Source organism: Homo sapiens, chromosome 16, assembly GCF_000001405.40.
Source record: "Homo sapiens chromosome 16, GRCh38.p14 Primary Assembly".
NCBI lineage: Eukaryota > Metazoa > Chordata > Mammalia > Primates > Hominidae > Homo > Homo sapiens.
Window position 1 is genome coordinate 87,954,004 of NC_000016.10, and position 12,098 is coordinate 87,966,101.

At 51.4% G+C, this 12,098-nt stretch overlaps 1 protein-coding gene across 30 annotated transcripts in view, besides 3 other annotated features; it reads left to right on the top strand.

Moving 5' to 3' along the window:
- The window catches only part of BANP (BTG3 associated nuclear protein), a 128,081-nt gene that overhangs the window by 4,766 nt on the left and 111,217 nt on the right, over positions 1–12,098 (top strand). Inside the window, exon 1 of one of the 30 annotated variants that reach the window (NM_001173542.1) lies at positions 5,868–5,990. The exons of the other annotated variants lie outside the window; for them this stretch is intronic. The gene's annotated coding sequence lies outside the window, so the exon portion shown is untranslated. Of the gene's footprint in view, positions 1–5,867; positions 5,991–12,098 lie in introns of those variants that run through there. 30 annotated transcript variants of the gene reach the window in all.
- Positions 2,343–2,462: an enhancer, noted in NCBI's record as "active region_11346". NCBI's record gives its function as "activates an Ori minimal core promoter by ATAC-STARR-seq in GM12878 lymphoblastoid cells {active_cell/tissue: GM12878}" and the evidence as "EXISTENCE:reporter gene assay evidence [ECO:0000049][PMID:35858748]".
- Positions 2,532–3,474: an enhancer, noted in NCBI's record as "H3K27ac-H3K4me1 hESC enhancer chr16:87990141-87991083 (GRCh37/hg19 assembly coordinates)". NCBI's record gives its function as "activates a minimal SCP1, AML or CMV promoter by ChIP-STARR-seq in primed H9 embryonic stem cells {active_cell/tissue: H9 hESC(primed)}" and the evidence as "EXISTENCE:reporter gene assay evidence [ECO:0000049][PMID:30033119]".
- Positions 2,893–2,952: an enhancer, noted in NCBI's record as "active region_11347". NCBI's record gives its function as "activates an Ori minimal core promoter by ATAC-STARR-seq in GM12878 lymphoblastoid cells {active_cell/tissue: GM12878}" and the evidence as "EXISTENCE:reporter gene assay evidence [ECO:0000049][PMID:35858748]".

Below are 12,098 nucleotides of genomic sequence, written 5' to 3' on the forward strand. Positions count from 1 at the left end.
GTGTGTGGATTCCTACGCCGGGGACTCTGACTCTGGTGCTTTGTCCTTCAGCTCTGGGAAGTTCCCTTGTTCTGTCTGAGAAGTTCTTCCTCTCCAGCTCTGCTCTTCTGTCTTAGGAGTTCCTGTTTGTGATGGACGTTCTAGGTGGAGCCCTGGAGTTGCGTCTTTATCCTTCCTTCTGTGTCTCGTTTATTCTCATTCTGGGAGAGGGCTTTAATATGTGTTCACAATCAAATTTTTAATGTCCAAGCATGTATTTGTCTTGTTTCTTTTTCATAGTAGCTTATTGTTACACAAGTGCCTCATCTCCATGACTCTAAGGAAACTAATAAGGATTCTTCCCAGCTCTCCTTTGTTCTGATTTCTTGTTTCCACTAATGTCACTTAAAAAAAGTGTTGGCTTCTTCCTCTTTATGGCAAGTCCTCCATACTGATGTTTACTGTTGTCTGAGGCAGGAGGAAGCTGGCGGAGAGCCCCGGGTCTGTGGGGTGCTTTTGAAAGAGTCCAGTTTCCCCTCGGGTGATTGGGAGCCTGTCACCGTGGGACCTGGAGCACCAACTTGCAGATATTTTCTCTGGGCTGTTCCGCTTCTTTAGGAAGGCCCCTTTGCTGGCCGTGGGGGAGTTAGCTCTCCTGTGCGGGACCGACTTGGCAGGTGCGGGTTTGGCCTGCCCGCAGGGCTCTGCGAGGCTTGGAGCCCCACGCCTGTGCCCCCGGTGCTTTCCCTCTGCCCTGATCGGGTCCTCTGCATCTGTCAGGAGTGTGTTCTTTCTTGTGGGTTGATAACACCCTATTAAAGATGATGTTAATGGAGTGAGAGGAGGTCACCCGTACGGCCAGTCACTCCCCTTGAGCAGGAATTTGCAAGCCTGTTCTATTCACTCCACCTTCCTGCTTCCTTGTGGCCTTGGTAATTGCCCACAGTCAACGGGGTGAGGTGCCAAGCCGCCGTTCCACAGCCGCCTCTGAATTGCAGCGTGGGCTGGTGGCTCTGGCCCTGTGGCCTTGGAGGGCTGCCAGCGTACCTGGGCAAGGCCCGGCAGACCCGTGTGGTAGCAAAGACCCTGACTTTGGCTCCTCGCTGGGTCAGTGTGCCAAGCGGGCCGTCTGCCCTGCTGGGGTCCAGGAGGGCCTGCAGTGAAGCAGTGGTGAGCGTACTGGGAGCATGATCTTTCTGCATGGTGGCTGACTGTCACTGGGAGGTTGTGTGTAGTGCGGTGGGCTCTGTCTGCCAGAGCCTTGCCAGCCGAGCGTCCAGGGGCCAGCTGTGTCCATCAGCATCACTTGGGTATTTGTGAGAAACGCACACTTTCAGGCCCTACCCAGGTTCTCGTGCAGAATCAGACTGCAGCTTGGTCAGCTTTTAATTTTCAGATAGTTTTTGACTTTACAGAAAAGATGCAAAAAATATTTCACTGAGCTTCCCTGTTGTCTTCATCTGCTTCCCCTGATGTTGACGTCTTATGTAACCAGGCATCCATATAAACGCCAGAAAGTTCACAGCATTATTGCGTAAATGACAGACCTTATTCGAACTTCGGTTTTGCACCAGTGTCCTCTTGCTGTTTCGGGATCCCCTCCGGGACCCCACACTGGTGCGTGTGGCCGCCCTGTCTCCTTAATGTCCTTCTGTCTGTGATATTTACATAGTCACAAAGTATCTCCCCCAAGATACACGTCACAAAGGGAAAAATAAAACTGTAGCCTCTCGGTGGAAAAACCCAGCAGATACTGTGTGAAGCAAGTGATCGGGGTAACACCATCAGTCATAAGACGTTGACACCAAGGACCCAGTGAGACACATCACTTCTCTGGCAGTGTTGCCAGAAATGCAGTCTCATCATGAGAAAATGCTGCACCCAAACTGAGGGATGCTCACCACAGTCCTGGCCAGTGCGTCTCAAGTGTCCAGGTCTTGAAAGACAGGGAGGCTCAGAATTTCCTGCAGGCAGGTGGCCAGGTGATGTGTGTGCACCCTGGTCCACACGGAAGGCCTTCCCACAACCTTGAGGGAGGTGAGGGAGTAGGGGTTTGGGGGCTCCAGGCACAGGTGCTGGGCAGTGGGCCTCAGTGGTCTTGCAGCTCCCCCGTCAGGATTGTTAGCCTTTGGGTTCCTCGTCTGCAGTGATACTGTACAAATCCCAAAAACTCCAGTTACACGATTAAGTGATTGACATGACATGGAGTCGCAAGGCTGACTTGAAAATGACTGTAACTCACAGCACCAGTTTAGCCACTGCAATCTAGAGAAACTAAACATTTCCTCATTTTGAAGGAAAGACTTCTTGGGGAAAGTCAATTTGAGGGTTTGAATGAGAATGAGATGAAAGCTTTAGAAGGTCCTCCCTGTGCCTGAGGTAGATAAACATCTGTATTTTCTCTTCACACGGGTGACGGTGGTGAAAGCATGACATCATCTGACTTGGTCAGCAGAAGTGCTCTGAACCATCCGGAACTTTGGGGGCCTGGGGGCCGTGGGGAGGAGTTTCAGGAAGTTGAAAACAGTATTGGGTGGAATCACACACTTGCAATTTGCTCTGAAAAAGCTACACTTGTTTTGTTCTCAGCTGCACCTGGGGCCCTTCAGCCCCTGCAGGAGAAGAATGGGGCGAGTGATTGGTACGTGGCCTTCCCAGCCTGCAGAGCCGCCTGCTTTGGTTGTAATCATAGGCAAGCTCAGCCTGCTTTGGTTGTAGTCGTAGACAAGCTCAGGTTTCCGCCTCTGCACGTCCCGGTGGGCTCGCCTGGGACTCCCTTTGTCTGTTGTACAAGACTCCACTCTGGCCCCCCCTTTGGAAGAGACGATGTCTCCATCCTCAGGAAGTAGAGAAACACTCTCCGCCACCCTCCATCCTGACCCCCGTGCAGAGGATGAAGTGCTGTCCCAGAAGCCCCCTCTCAGGGGTGCCGTAAGTCTCAGAGAGAGGAGCACCCCGGGGCCTCCGTGGCAGAATCCTGTGAGTGTCTTTGGTTAAAATGTGCAGGAAGTGTTAACTCCTAAGCTGCCAGCAGATGGTGTGCCGAGATACTGTGAAGTCACATGAACTTGATTCCTGTTGGAAAGAACCACTCTGCAATCCTTCGCGTCTACACTTCGTCAAGAACCGTCCAATTTGATTAAACATTCTGGATCGTCAGCGTTCACGGTGGAGCAGACTCCACGACTCGCTGCTCCCATGGGAGGTGTCTCTCTGGGGAAGGGGTCAGTGGTGGTGGAGGATGGCGCGGTGCTCCATTCGGAACCCACAGGTCGCCAGCTTACAGCGTGGGAGCTGTGGAAGGACACATGGAGCAGAGGCGGCTGAGGAGGTGAAAGGCTGAGAGGAGGCTGCAGTGAAACACCTGAGGAAGGCTGGGCAGAATGGATCGGGGGTGTGTATTGGCTGCAGTCACCTCCCCTCTGCTCGTCTGTGTCCACATTCTGTCGTGGTTGAGACCGGATCCTGTGTGGACCGGGTGGGCTGGTGTGGAGTCCTGTCAGGAGACCTGGGGCGGTTTTGAGGCAAGCTCACGGAGGCCTGCCGCAGGGCCCTGCGCTGACAAACCTTTCGCTAGTGACCAGTTACCTTCTGTGTCTGAGAGAAGGCCGTTGTGGCCTGTAGTGATTTTCCTTTTCCCTTGAGATGAAAAGTCATCAAATATCTGGAAGCAAAGCTTAATCTTTCTGAAAGTAGAAACGCGTTTGGATGGAGCCGGGAGGGAGAACTGGGTGCGCGCTTGGCATTTCCTTGCCGGTGTGAATGCGCTTCCCGTAAATATGGCAGAACGCCTTCACCTTTCACCAGATGACGCGGGGGGAATTGGGCCACGGTCCCTGCTGTCATCATGGCATGCTGCAAGCTCTGTGGGCGCTGGTGGCCAGGATGCGGACAACCCCTGCCGCTACGTGTCCTCAAGTGAGCTCAGCTCTTGTGTCGGTGGGAGCTGGCGGTGGGTCCCTGAGCAGAGTGCTGCCGCTGCCAGTCTGCGTTTTCTGCCGAAATGCGTCCCTGAGATTGAGAAAGTTCACACCCTAAGTGTTTTTAGAAGGCTGGGTGCCCTGTTTCCCAGCCAACAGTTGTGACTGTCAGTGGGCAAACACAGTTTGCAATAATTGGCCTGTTGTCTTACAATTTCTGGCTCTCCTCTTTGTGGTGTAGGTCATGTTAGGTGGTGGTCCTTGGTCGTTTGTGCCACGTTCCCTCATGTTCTTGAACTCTGAGTCCCTAGAAACTGACATTGGTCTTATTTTGAGTGCATTATTTTTCAAACTTTGGGTCTGAACCCACATCAATTGAGTGGGCCATGGCCAGTGTTAAGAATACTGGATAAAATGGAGCATGCCTTGGATAAAAGGAGCATGGTTCGGAGTGGCTAACGGGTAGGTATCGACTCAGGAAACTTGCAGTGATGAGTGTATGAACTTACCATCGTAGGCCCCAGTCGAGAGCGTGGAAACCACTCTTCTGTGATGTGTGTCTACTAGCGGGTGGTTATGCACAGCATTTGACTGAATTTGGGTAACTCTGGATGTAGTGTATAAAGTACTTTTTAAAAGGCCATCCACTGGGCCAGGCATGGTGGCCCAAAGCTCCCAGCGCTTTGGGAAGCGGAAACTGGAGGATCACTCGAGCCCGGGAATTGGAGGCTGCAGGGCTGCAGTGAGCCATGATTGCACCACTGCACTCCAGCCTGGGCGGCAGAGTGAGACCCTGTCTCAAGAAAAAACAAGCAAAAACTATTCCCGTTAAGCCGCTTGCTTAGGGGTGACTGTGATTGAACATGTGGCTTCTCATCCAAGTTGATTTTAATCTCTATGGAGATCAGACTAATAACCTCACAGTAGAAAATCCACCAGTGAGCTCAGCGGCACAAACTCACAGCCCAGCAGTGTTTGCAGAGGGGAAGGCCCAGAATGCGTGGAGGCTTCGGGATCCATCCTTTGCAGACATAGAGAATTCTCATGGGGGAGGGAGGACCTTGCGGCGCCTTGGCAGTGAGGGGAGCAACCTCAGCATGATGTTGGCACGTACACTGGGGACTGGGTGGTGACACCGTGCATGCCCACAGGGGTGGAGATCTTTGTGGAGTTCACTGATGGATCCCAGAGGCCCAGGACGGGATGGCACGCTTTTCTGTGAGGGTCAGAGTGTAAGTGTTTCTGGCCTTGTGGGGCGTGGGATGTCTCGTGCCACTGTGAAGCCGCTCGACTCTGCTGTTGGGCTGAGAAGCAGGCACCTTGTTTGTGGACGCTGACATTTGAGTTTTATGTAATTTTCTCATCATGAAATATTGTTCTTTTGTTATTTTTCTGTTTTAAAATGTAAAACCCATTCCTGGCTCACAGGCTGCATAGAAGCAGGTGGAGAGCTGGGCTGGGTTGTGGGCCCTCACGTGCCACCCCCTGACCTAGAGTGTGTTTGCCCTGGGAAGGAATAAGACGAGGTTGTGTAGAGAGGCAGTGGCTGGATGGGGAGAGGCCTGGGCCCTGCACAGAGGAGCTGAGGTGTGAGGCTGCTTGCGAGGGAGGCGGCTGACCAGGCTTGGTACTAGCAGGCTCTCCGGGGAGGAGGCCCCCTGGAGGAACAGCGCTGGCGTCAGCCACAGAAGGGCTTAGCGGCCATGGTCTTCCTGCTGCAGCCCGTGTGGTTTTGGGAGGGACACATGGAGCATTGGAGGACAAAGAGACGGCCAGATCGGAGTGTGTGTGGCAGAGGGGCGATGCCACCCTTCGGAGCGATGGGTGCCAGGGTACTCGGTGAGAGCCCAGGTCCCGGGTGAGGGGGTGGGCTGAGGGGGAGTCAGAGAGGGAGGAGCCTCGGGATGCGGAAGGGCGAGAGCAGGGCGATGAGGGTGGGGCCGCAGGGAGGTGGCCGGGACTCCTGGTAGTATTCTTGGGGAGAAAGATAACAGGGAAGTGAGGAGGGTTCAGCTGTGGAAGTGCTGGGATGGCTGATCCGAGTGACCATGGCCTAGACGGGGTTTAAACCCTGGACTGAAGAAAGTGCCGGTGAGAGGTCAAGGCAGGAGATGGAGACCTGGGGGTGACAGGTGTCCCCGGCACCTCCTACCCCCACCCTGGGAGACAGTCCCAAGGGGCACCTTCACTGGGGGCTGGCCCTCATGCACACCAGCCAAACCTCCTGCCCACCTTCTGGGGGCTTCTGGAGCAGAGCAGAGGCCCCGCGGACCGTGAGGATGGCCACAGGGAGGGGAGATGCGAAACACTGGCCGTGGCAGGTGCCCACGCAGTCAGGAGCTTGCTTGTGGGGCTCTTGTCTGACACCTGGGAGATGAATTTCAGTCTGATGGTGGATCTGGACCCAGATGGCTTGCTTGGGATTCAGCAGCTCTTGGGAAGAGCCACACTTGAGGATGGGCTTGGGTGAGGGTTTGGAACGTGCTTAAAGAGGTTGGCAGGCAAGGATTTGGTGGTAGCAGGTGGGGCACATCGTGTATTGGCAGGGTTTTGTTATTTTTATCCTAAAGACATACTTATTTGCAAACCTTCTATTTTGGAACATTTTGAGATGTATACATATGTGGCAGAGATAGCATAGGGAGTGCCCTTGTGCCTGGTACCCAGTTTCTCCCGTTGCTAACAAGACGCATGACAGCAGTTCATGGCACAGTGTTGGGTGTGCCCCGGCCAACTCAGCAGATGAGCTGTTTCACAAAATCAGTGATTCTGCTCTGATAAAATGGCAAGTCCACGGAAAGCACTTTCATTGTATTTTGAAGTTGGGTGGTTGTTGAGGGATTATTTGAGTTGTAGTTGAACTAGCTGCTCTTTTCATGGAACACTATAAAAAAATAATTTACAGATTACTGACATCTCTTACTAAATGAGTGAAGTTAGCCTCTCACCTCAAAGAAGTCAGCTAACAGTGTTTGTTGCCAGTGATAAAGTTTGAGCTGTCAAGTGAAGTTGGAGTTTTGGAAAGTTTGTCTTTGCCACCGTGAGCCCGAGAGCTCCCAATAAATCAGATGCCAGTGCTAATGCTGATGAACCGTATGCTTTTGATATTATAGACTGAACAACATTTGCAAGAGCTGCCTAACTCGGTGAAGCAACATTTTCCAGATGGTCGATGCGGGATCACGCCTGGGTAAAAGATCCATTTAGAGTACAAGTCAAGCCAATGGATCTTAAAGCCATAAAGTGCAGAAGCTCATGGATACAGTTCACATTCCATATTGCAAACAGCCTTTAAGGAAAAATAAAACACACTTGTTGCGTGTTGGTGTGGTGTCAAAGAGGAATCTCCATAATTATCTGAAGAGCCTATTAAGATACTTTTCCCTTGTCTAACTGCATCTCCTTGTAAGGCTGCATTTTATTTTATTTTTTCGTACTTTTTGTAGAGACAGGGTTTTGCTGTGTTGCCCGGGTTGGTCTCGAACTCCTGGACTCACAGAATCTGCACCCCCCCGGGCCTCCCAAAGTGCTGGGATTACGGGCGTGAGCCACTTCCCCTGGTGAGGCTGCCTTTTTGTCATATGCATCGACCAAAACAACATATCGGAGCAGACCACCGGTGGAAGCAGATAGGAAACTCTAGTTGTTTTCAATTAAGCCGGGCATTAGAAATTTGTAAAAATGTAAAACAATATTATCCCTCTTCTCATTAAGGTTTTGTTGTTCTTTGGAAGCTATAGTTATTTTTCATAAAACATGTTTTGTATGTACCATGAATGTTTGTCCCCTTTGAAACTCATGTTGAAAGCTGGTCCCCAGTGTCACAGTATTAAGAGGTGATTGGATCATGAGGGCTCAGCCCTCAGGAATGCGTTCAGTGCATTTATAGACTAATGGGCTCTCCTCGTGGTGGGTTAGTGATCATGACAGGGCGTCTGTTATAAAAGCCAGTTTGGGTGTCTCTCATATCCCCACCAGCAGGAAGGCACTCCTCAGATGGGACCCCTGGACCTTGGACTTCTCAGCCTCCTGAACTATAAGAAATGCATTTCTTAGGCTGGGCGCAGTGGCTCATTCCTGTAATCCCAGCACTTTGGGAGGATGAGGTGGGTGGATTACCTGAGATCTGGAGTTCAAGACCAGCCTGCCAACATGGTGAAACGCTGTCTCTACTAAAAATACAAAAAATTAGCCTGGTGCAGTGGCGTGCGCCTGTAATCCCAGCTACTCTGGAGGCTGAGGCAGGAGAATCACTTGAACCCGGGAGGTGGAGGTTGCAGTGAGCCGAGATCATGCCACTGCACTCCAGTCTGGGCTACAGAGCGAGACTTGGTCTCAAAAAAAAAAAAAAAAAGAAAGCACATTTTTTTCCTTTATGTAATAAATTACCAGTCTCAGATACTCAGTTATAGCAACAGAAAACGGAGTAAGACAGCGTTAATATGTAATGTGTTAATTTGTATGATTTTTACATGAATTAAAAAATATTCAAACATTTTTTGTTCTAATTTCAAATATGGTAAATATCGATAGGTAGAATCTGTACAGGTGCAAGCTCTTCAGGACCCTCAGTAGCTTTAGAATGGTGAAGAGGACCCTGAGGCCAGAAAGTCAGAATTACTGCCTTAGAGCCTAGACGCTTCTTAAGATGTGTCCCTGGAAATTATGCATGCTCAGGTGAAATTATGCATGCTAATATATTCAGGTTTGGAATTTGACCACTTACTTACAAATTTGAATTTTTCCTCCCTTTCCCCCGCAAGCACACATTTGGGGGGCCATCTTAAAGAAAAAGCAGTGTTGCCTGAATGACCCCAAGAGTAAGTGGGAGCCGTCGGGAGAAGTGTTCTTGCTTCTTTCTGATTTCCCGCCTATCTAGCATCCGATCAGTCATTTATAGTTTTCTTTCCAGTTATTTCCCATCTCATTCTTGTACGTTCCACTTCAGACTGATTTCGGGCAAAAGAAGTAGGCTGAGACTTCTTCACATGTCTCAGTTTAATAAAAGTTGACTTCTTCATGTCAGTTCATCCTGCCTTTCTCATTATTTCTTCCTTTCTAGACTTACATCCCGAGAGGATTTGACTAAATGGAATGATTAATTTCTTAGCAGTTTCCTCGTTTCGGGAGATTTAGCTTTTTACCAGGTACCACTTAGTCTCATCTTTAAGTGGGAGTTCCTGTCCTAATTTTTATGGCTCTTTGGACTTGCCATTCCAGCTCGGGTGGCCTGGGAGTCTCCACACAGAAGCCGTCTGAGGAGAAGGGCGCCAGGACGATCTGGGGATGGGCTGGGAGCTTGGTGGCCGTGGTCCCTTCTTGTCACTTTACTGTCTCAAGCGTCTTCTCTCCCTGGTCGCACGCGCTGTGAGCTTATTGTTCTGGGCGTTCCCCACCCTCAGTTCCCAAGTGCAGTGCAGGCCAGGCCCTGTGCTAACTTTTTACAGCAGGGAATATACTCAGTTCATATTTTTGCCATCTGTAAAGTGAGGTAGGCCCCTTCAAGACATGTAAGGAGTATCTATGGCTGTGGAATGCATCTTTTTAGACTGGCCGCTCTGCATGGATCTGATCACGGGTAGGTGCTGTGATTCACACCACGTCAGAGCCCCGCTCTGGGAGGTGACACATCTGGGCTATATTGTTCCACTTCCTGTGGAAATGACTGCGTCCAAATCAGATGCAGCCTTAGGACTTTTCTTAAGGGTTGATGGAAGAAACAGCTCTATGAAGAATGTCTGCCCTAAAAATACTGACGGGAAAAAACCCGTTACGTTGTGACACCCCTAATGATGCATGTGATGTGGCTTAGGTAGCGACAGAGAAGATCCTGGTGTTGAAGGAAGCCCTAGTGTTAAATACAGGAAGCCTGGCTTGACTTTTCTTGCTGCTGTTTTTCATGTGATGCTGATAATCTATAGCAGTTTGTTTTTTAACTTTGACTGTTAAAGCCAAGTTTTCTGCCCAGTTACAGTGGGTTTCCTTTTAGTCCTCTTTTAATGGCTTTGTGGTTTTGTTTTATGGGTGTCCAATATTTTTGAAATAGTAATAGCAAAATTAAATACTTTTGCAGCTGTCCGTTTCTCCTGATGACCAGCTACCGTTAGCCTTTGCTGACAGTGGATGGGCACTGTTCATCAGATGTGTCAATCACCCTGATTCCACATTCATGAACTGAGTAGTTAGATTAGTAACTTAATTATAGCACAGTCCTTATTGAAATCAGGACATGGGCACAACACACTTTGAAAACCTTAATCCATGGTTTTTAAATAGCATTTCTGACATTCATCATTGTGCATTGGGGAATGACGTCAGTGGTGTGTTCTCACTGGACTCATCACAGACGTATTCACTGGATGCGGTGCGGGCCAGGCCCGGTGCCCTGCTGAGAACACAGCCATGCCAATTCCTGCCCTTGTGAAGCTCACCTTCTAGCAGGAGACACTAAGCAAGAGAAACCTTTCAGATGTGTAGTAAGTCAGACAGTAGAGCAGGAAAGGCTGCTGTGCACGTCACCGTTGCCGAGGCGTCCAGGAGGCGTGCAGGAGGCGTGCAGGGGTGGCCAGCTCCGTGGTAGGACCCTGAGCTGAGTGTATCCCTGAGAAGCATGGGGAGGCCCAAATGCAGGGGCCGAGTGAGCGTGGCGGGGAGGAGAGCCCCAGGGGCTGCAGAGGGCCCGTGAGATGGGAAGCCCTCGGAGGGCTTAGAGCAGATGAGGGGCATAGCCTGGCACGTGTTTTTATGTGACGCCTTGAGCGCTCTTTATCGTGATCACAGCAGAGGTGCAGGTGACAGTGAGACGGCCGTATGTGAGCAGGTCTGAGGGGCGGCCTGGGTCCAGGTTGGGAGTGACAGGCTGGGAAGACGAGGCCGGATCAGGGTGAAGGAGAGGAGAACCCAGGAGGCCTGAGGTTTTGGCCTGAGCATCTGGGAAGTAGGTGTTGCCTTAAATTGAGGTGGAAAGTGTGGAAGAAGCAGGTTGGTTTGGGGTGGGTGACAGGGGCTCAGTTTGGACATGTTAGAATTGAGACGACCCCTTAGGGGAGACACCTAGTAGGTGGTGTGGTGTGAGGCCTGGAGTTCATGTGCGAGGTCTGAGCTGGCAGGGTGATAGGCGCCATTGGCGTGGAGATGTATCTGAAGCCACAGACTGATGAGCCGCTGGGTCAGTGCTGGCTGAGCAAAGGTTCCAGGGCCGTGCCCTGGGCATGCATCCTCAAGTCAGGAAGTGGATGTGGGACCAGCAGAGAGACAGAGGAGTGGGGGCCAGGCAGGGAGGACAGCGTGGGGAGGAGCCGGAATGAGCCCCATCAGGCCCTGTGGTGGGGAGAATGGGGGCAGCATCTGGGCTGGAGCAGTTTTGGGGGAGTAACTGAGTGACAGCCCGATGGGTGGGATCTGGAGGGGATGTGAGCACTGAAAATGGAGACCGCAAGTACAGGCGGGGCTTCTGAGGAATTTTATCTGAAAGGGAACAGAGAAATGGGGCTGGGGCTGGAGGGGCAGGAGGGAGGGCAGCACCGTGGGGGAAGGGTGTGCAAGGGTGATGCTGAGGGACCAGGGAGGGGTGCTGACTGGGTGTGGGGCACATGCCCGAGGAGGCAGGAGTGGGCATTCTTGGGAAGTGAGAGGGAGGAGAGCAGGATCACCCACTAAGCCCGAGGCGCAGAGGGTCCAGGAGTAGGGGAGCGTTCGCATGGCTGGGCGGGGCTGGGCGGGGCTGGGCGGGGCTTGCAGCATCAGGCGCACCTGAGGTTGATTGGATGTGGATTCTCTCCCCATCCCTGCCCGAATGTGTGGGTCCCCATGCCTTGGTGGCTGAGAAGTGGATTTAAGGCCAGGTTAAAGATGGTTCTGTAAAGTTTATCAAGATTTGATGTAGTTGGCCTTGCCTGTAGACACATCACTTGGTTGTAGAAACAGTTTCACAGGTAATAAATAAGTAAGGCCTACGGAATAAGGCCTATGGAAAGCTCAGCAGTCCAGGAGGGCGGAGTGGACAGGAGAGTGGGGCTCGTGCAGTTGGAGCGTCCCTGCTCTGGGTAGCCTGAGGTTTGCTATTTGTCATCCCCAACTGTCTTGGATGTGTTGGCACACCTGGACAGATGACCACACGTGGACACCATGTTTAGGAAGCAGAATTGGGATCATATCATCCGCACCGCTGTGCAGCTTTCCATTTGTATGCCTTCCTTT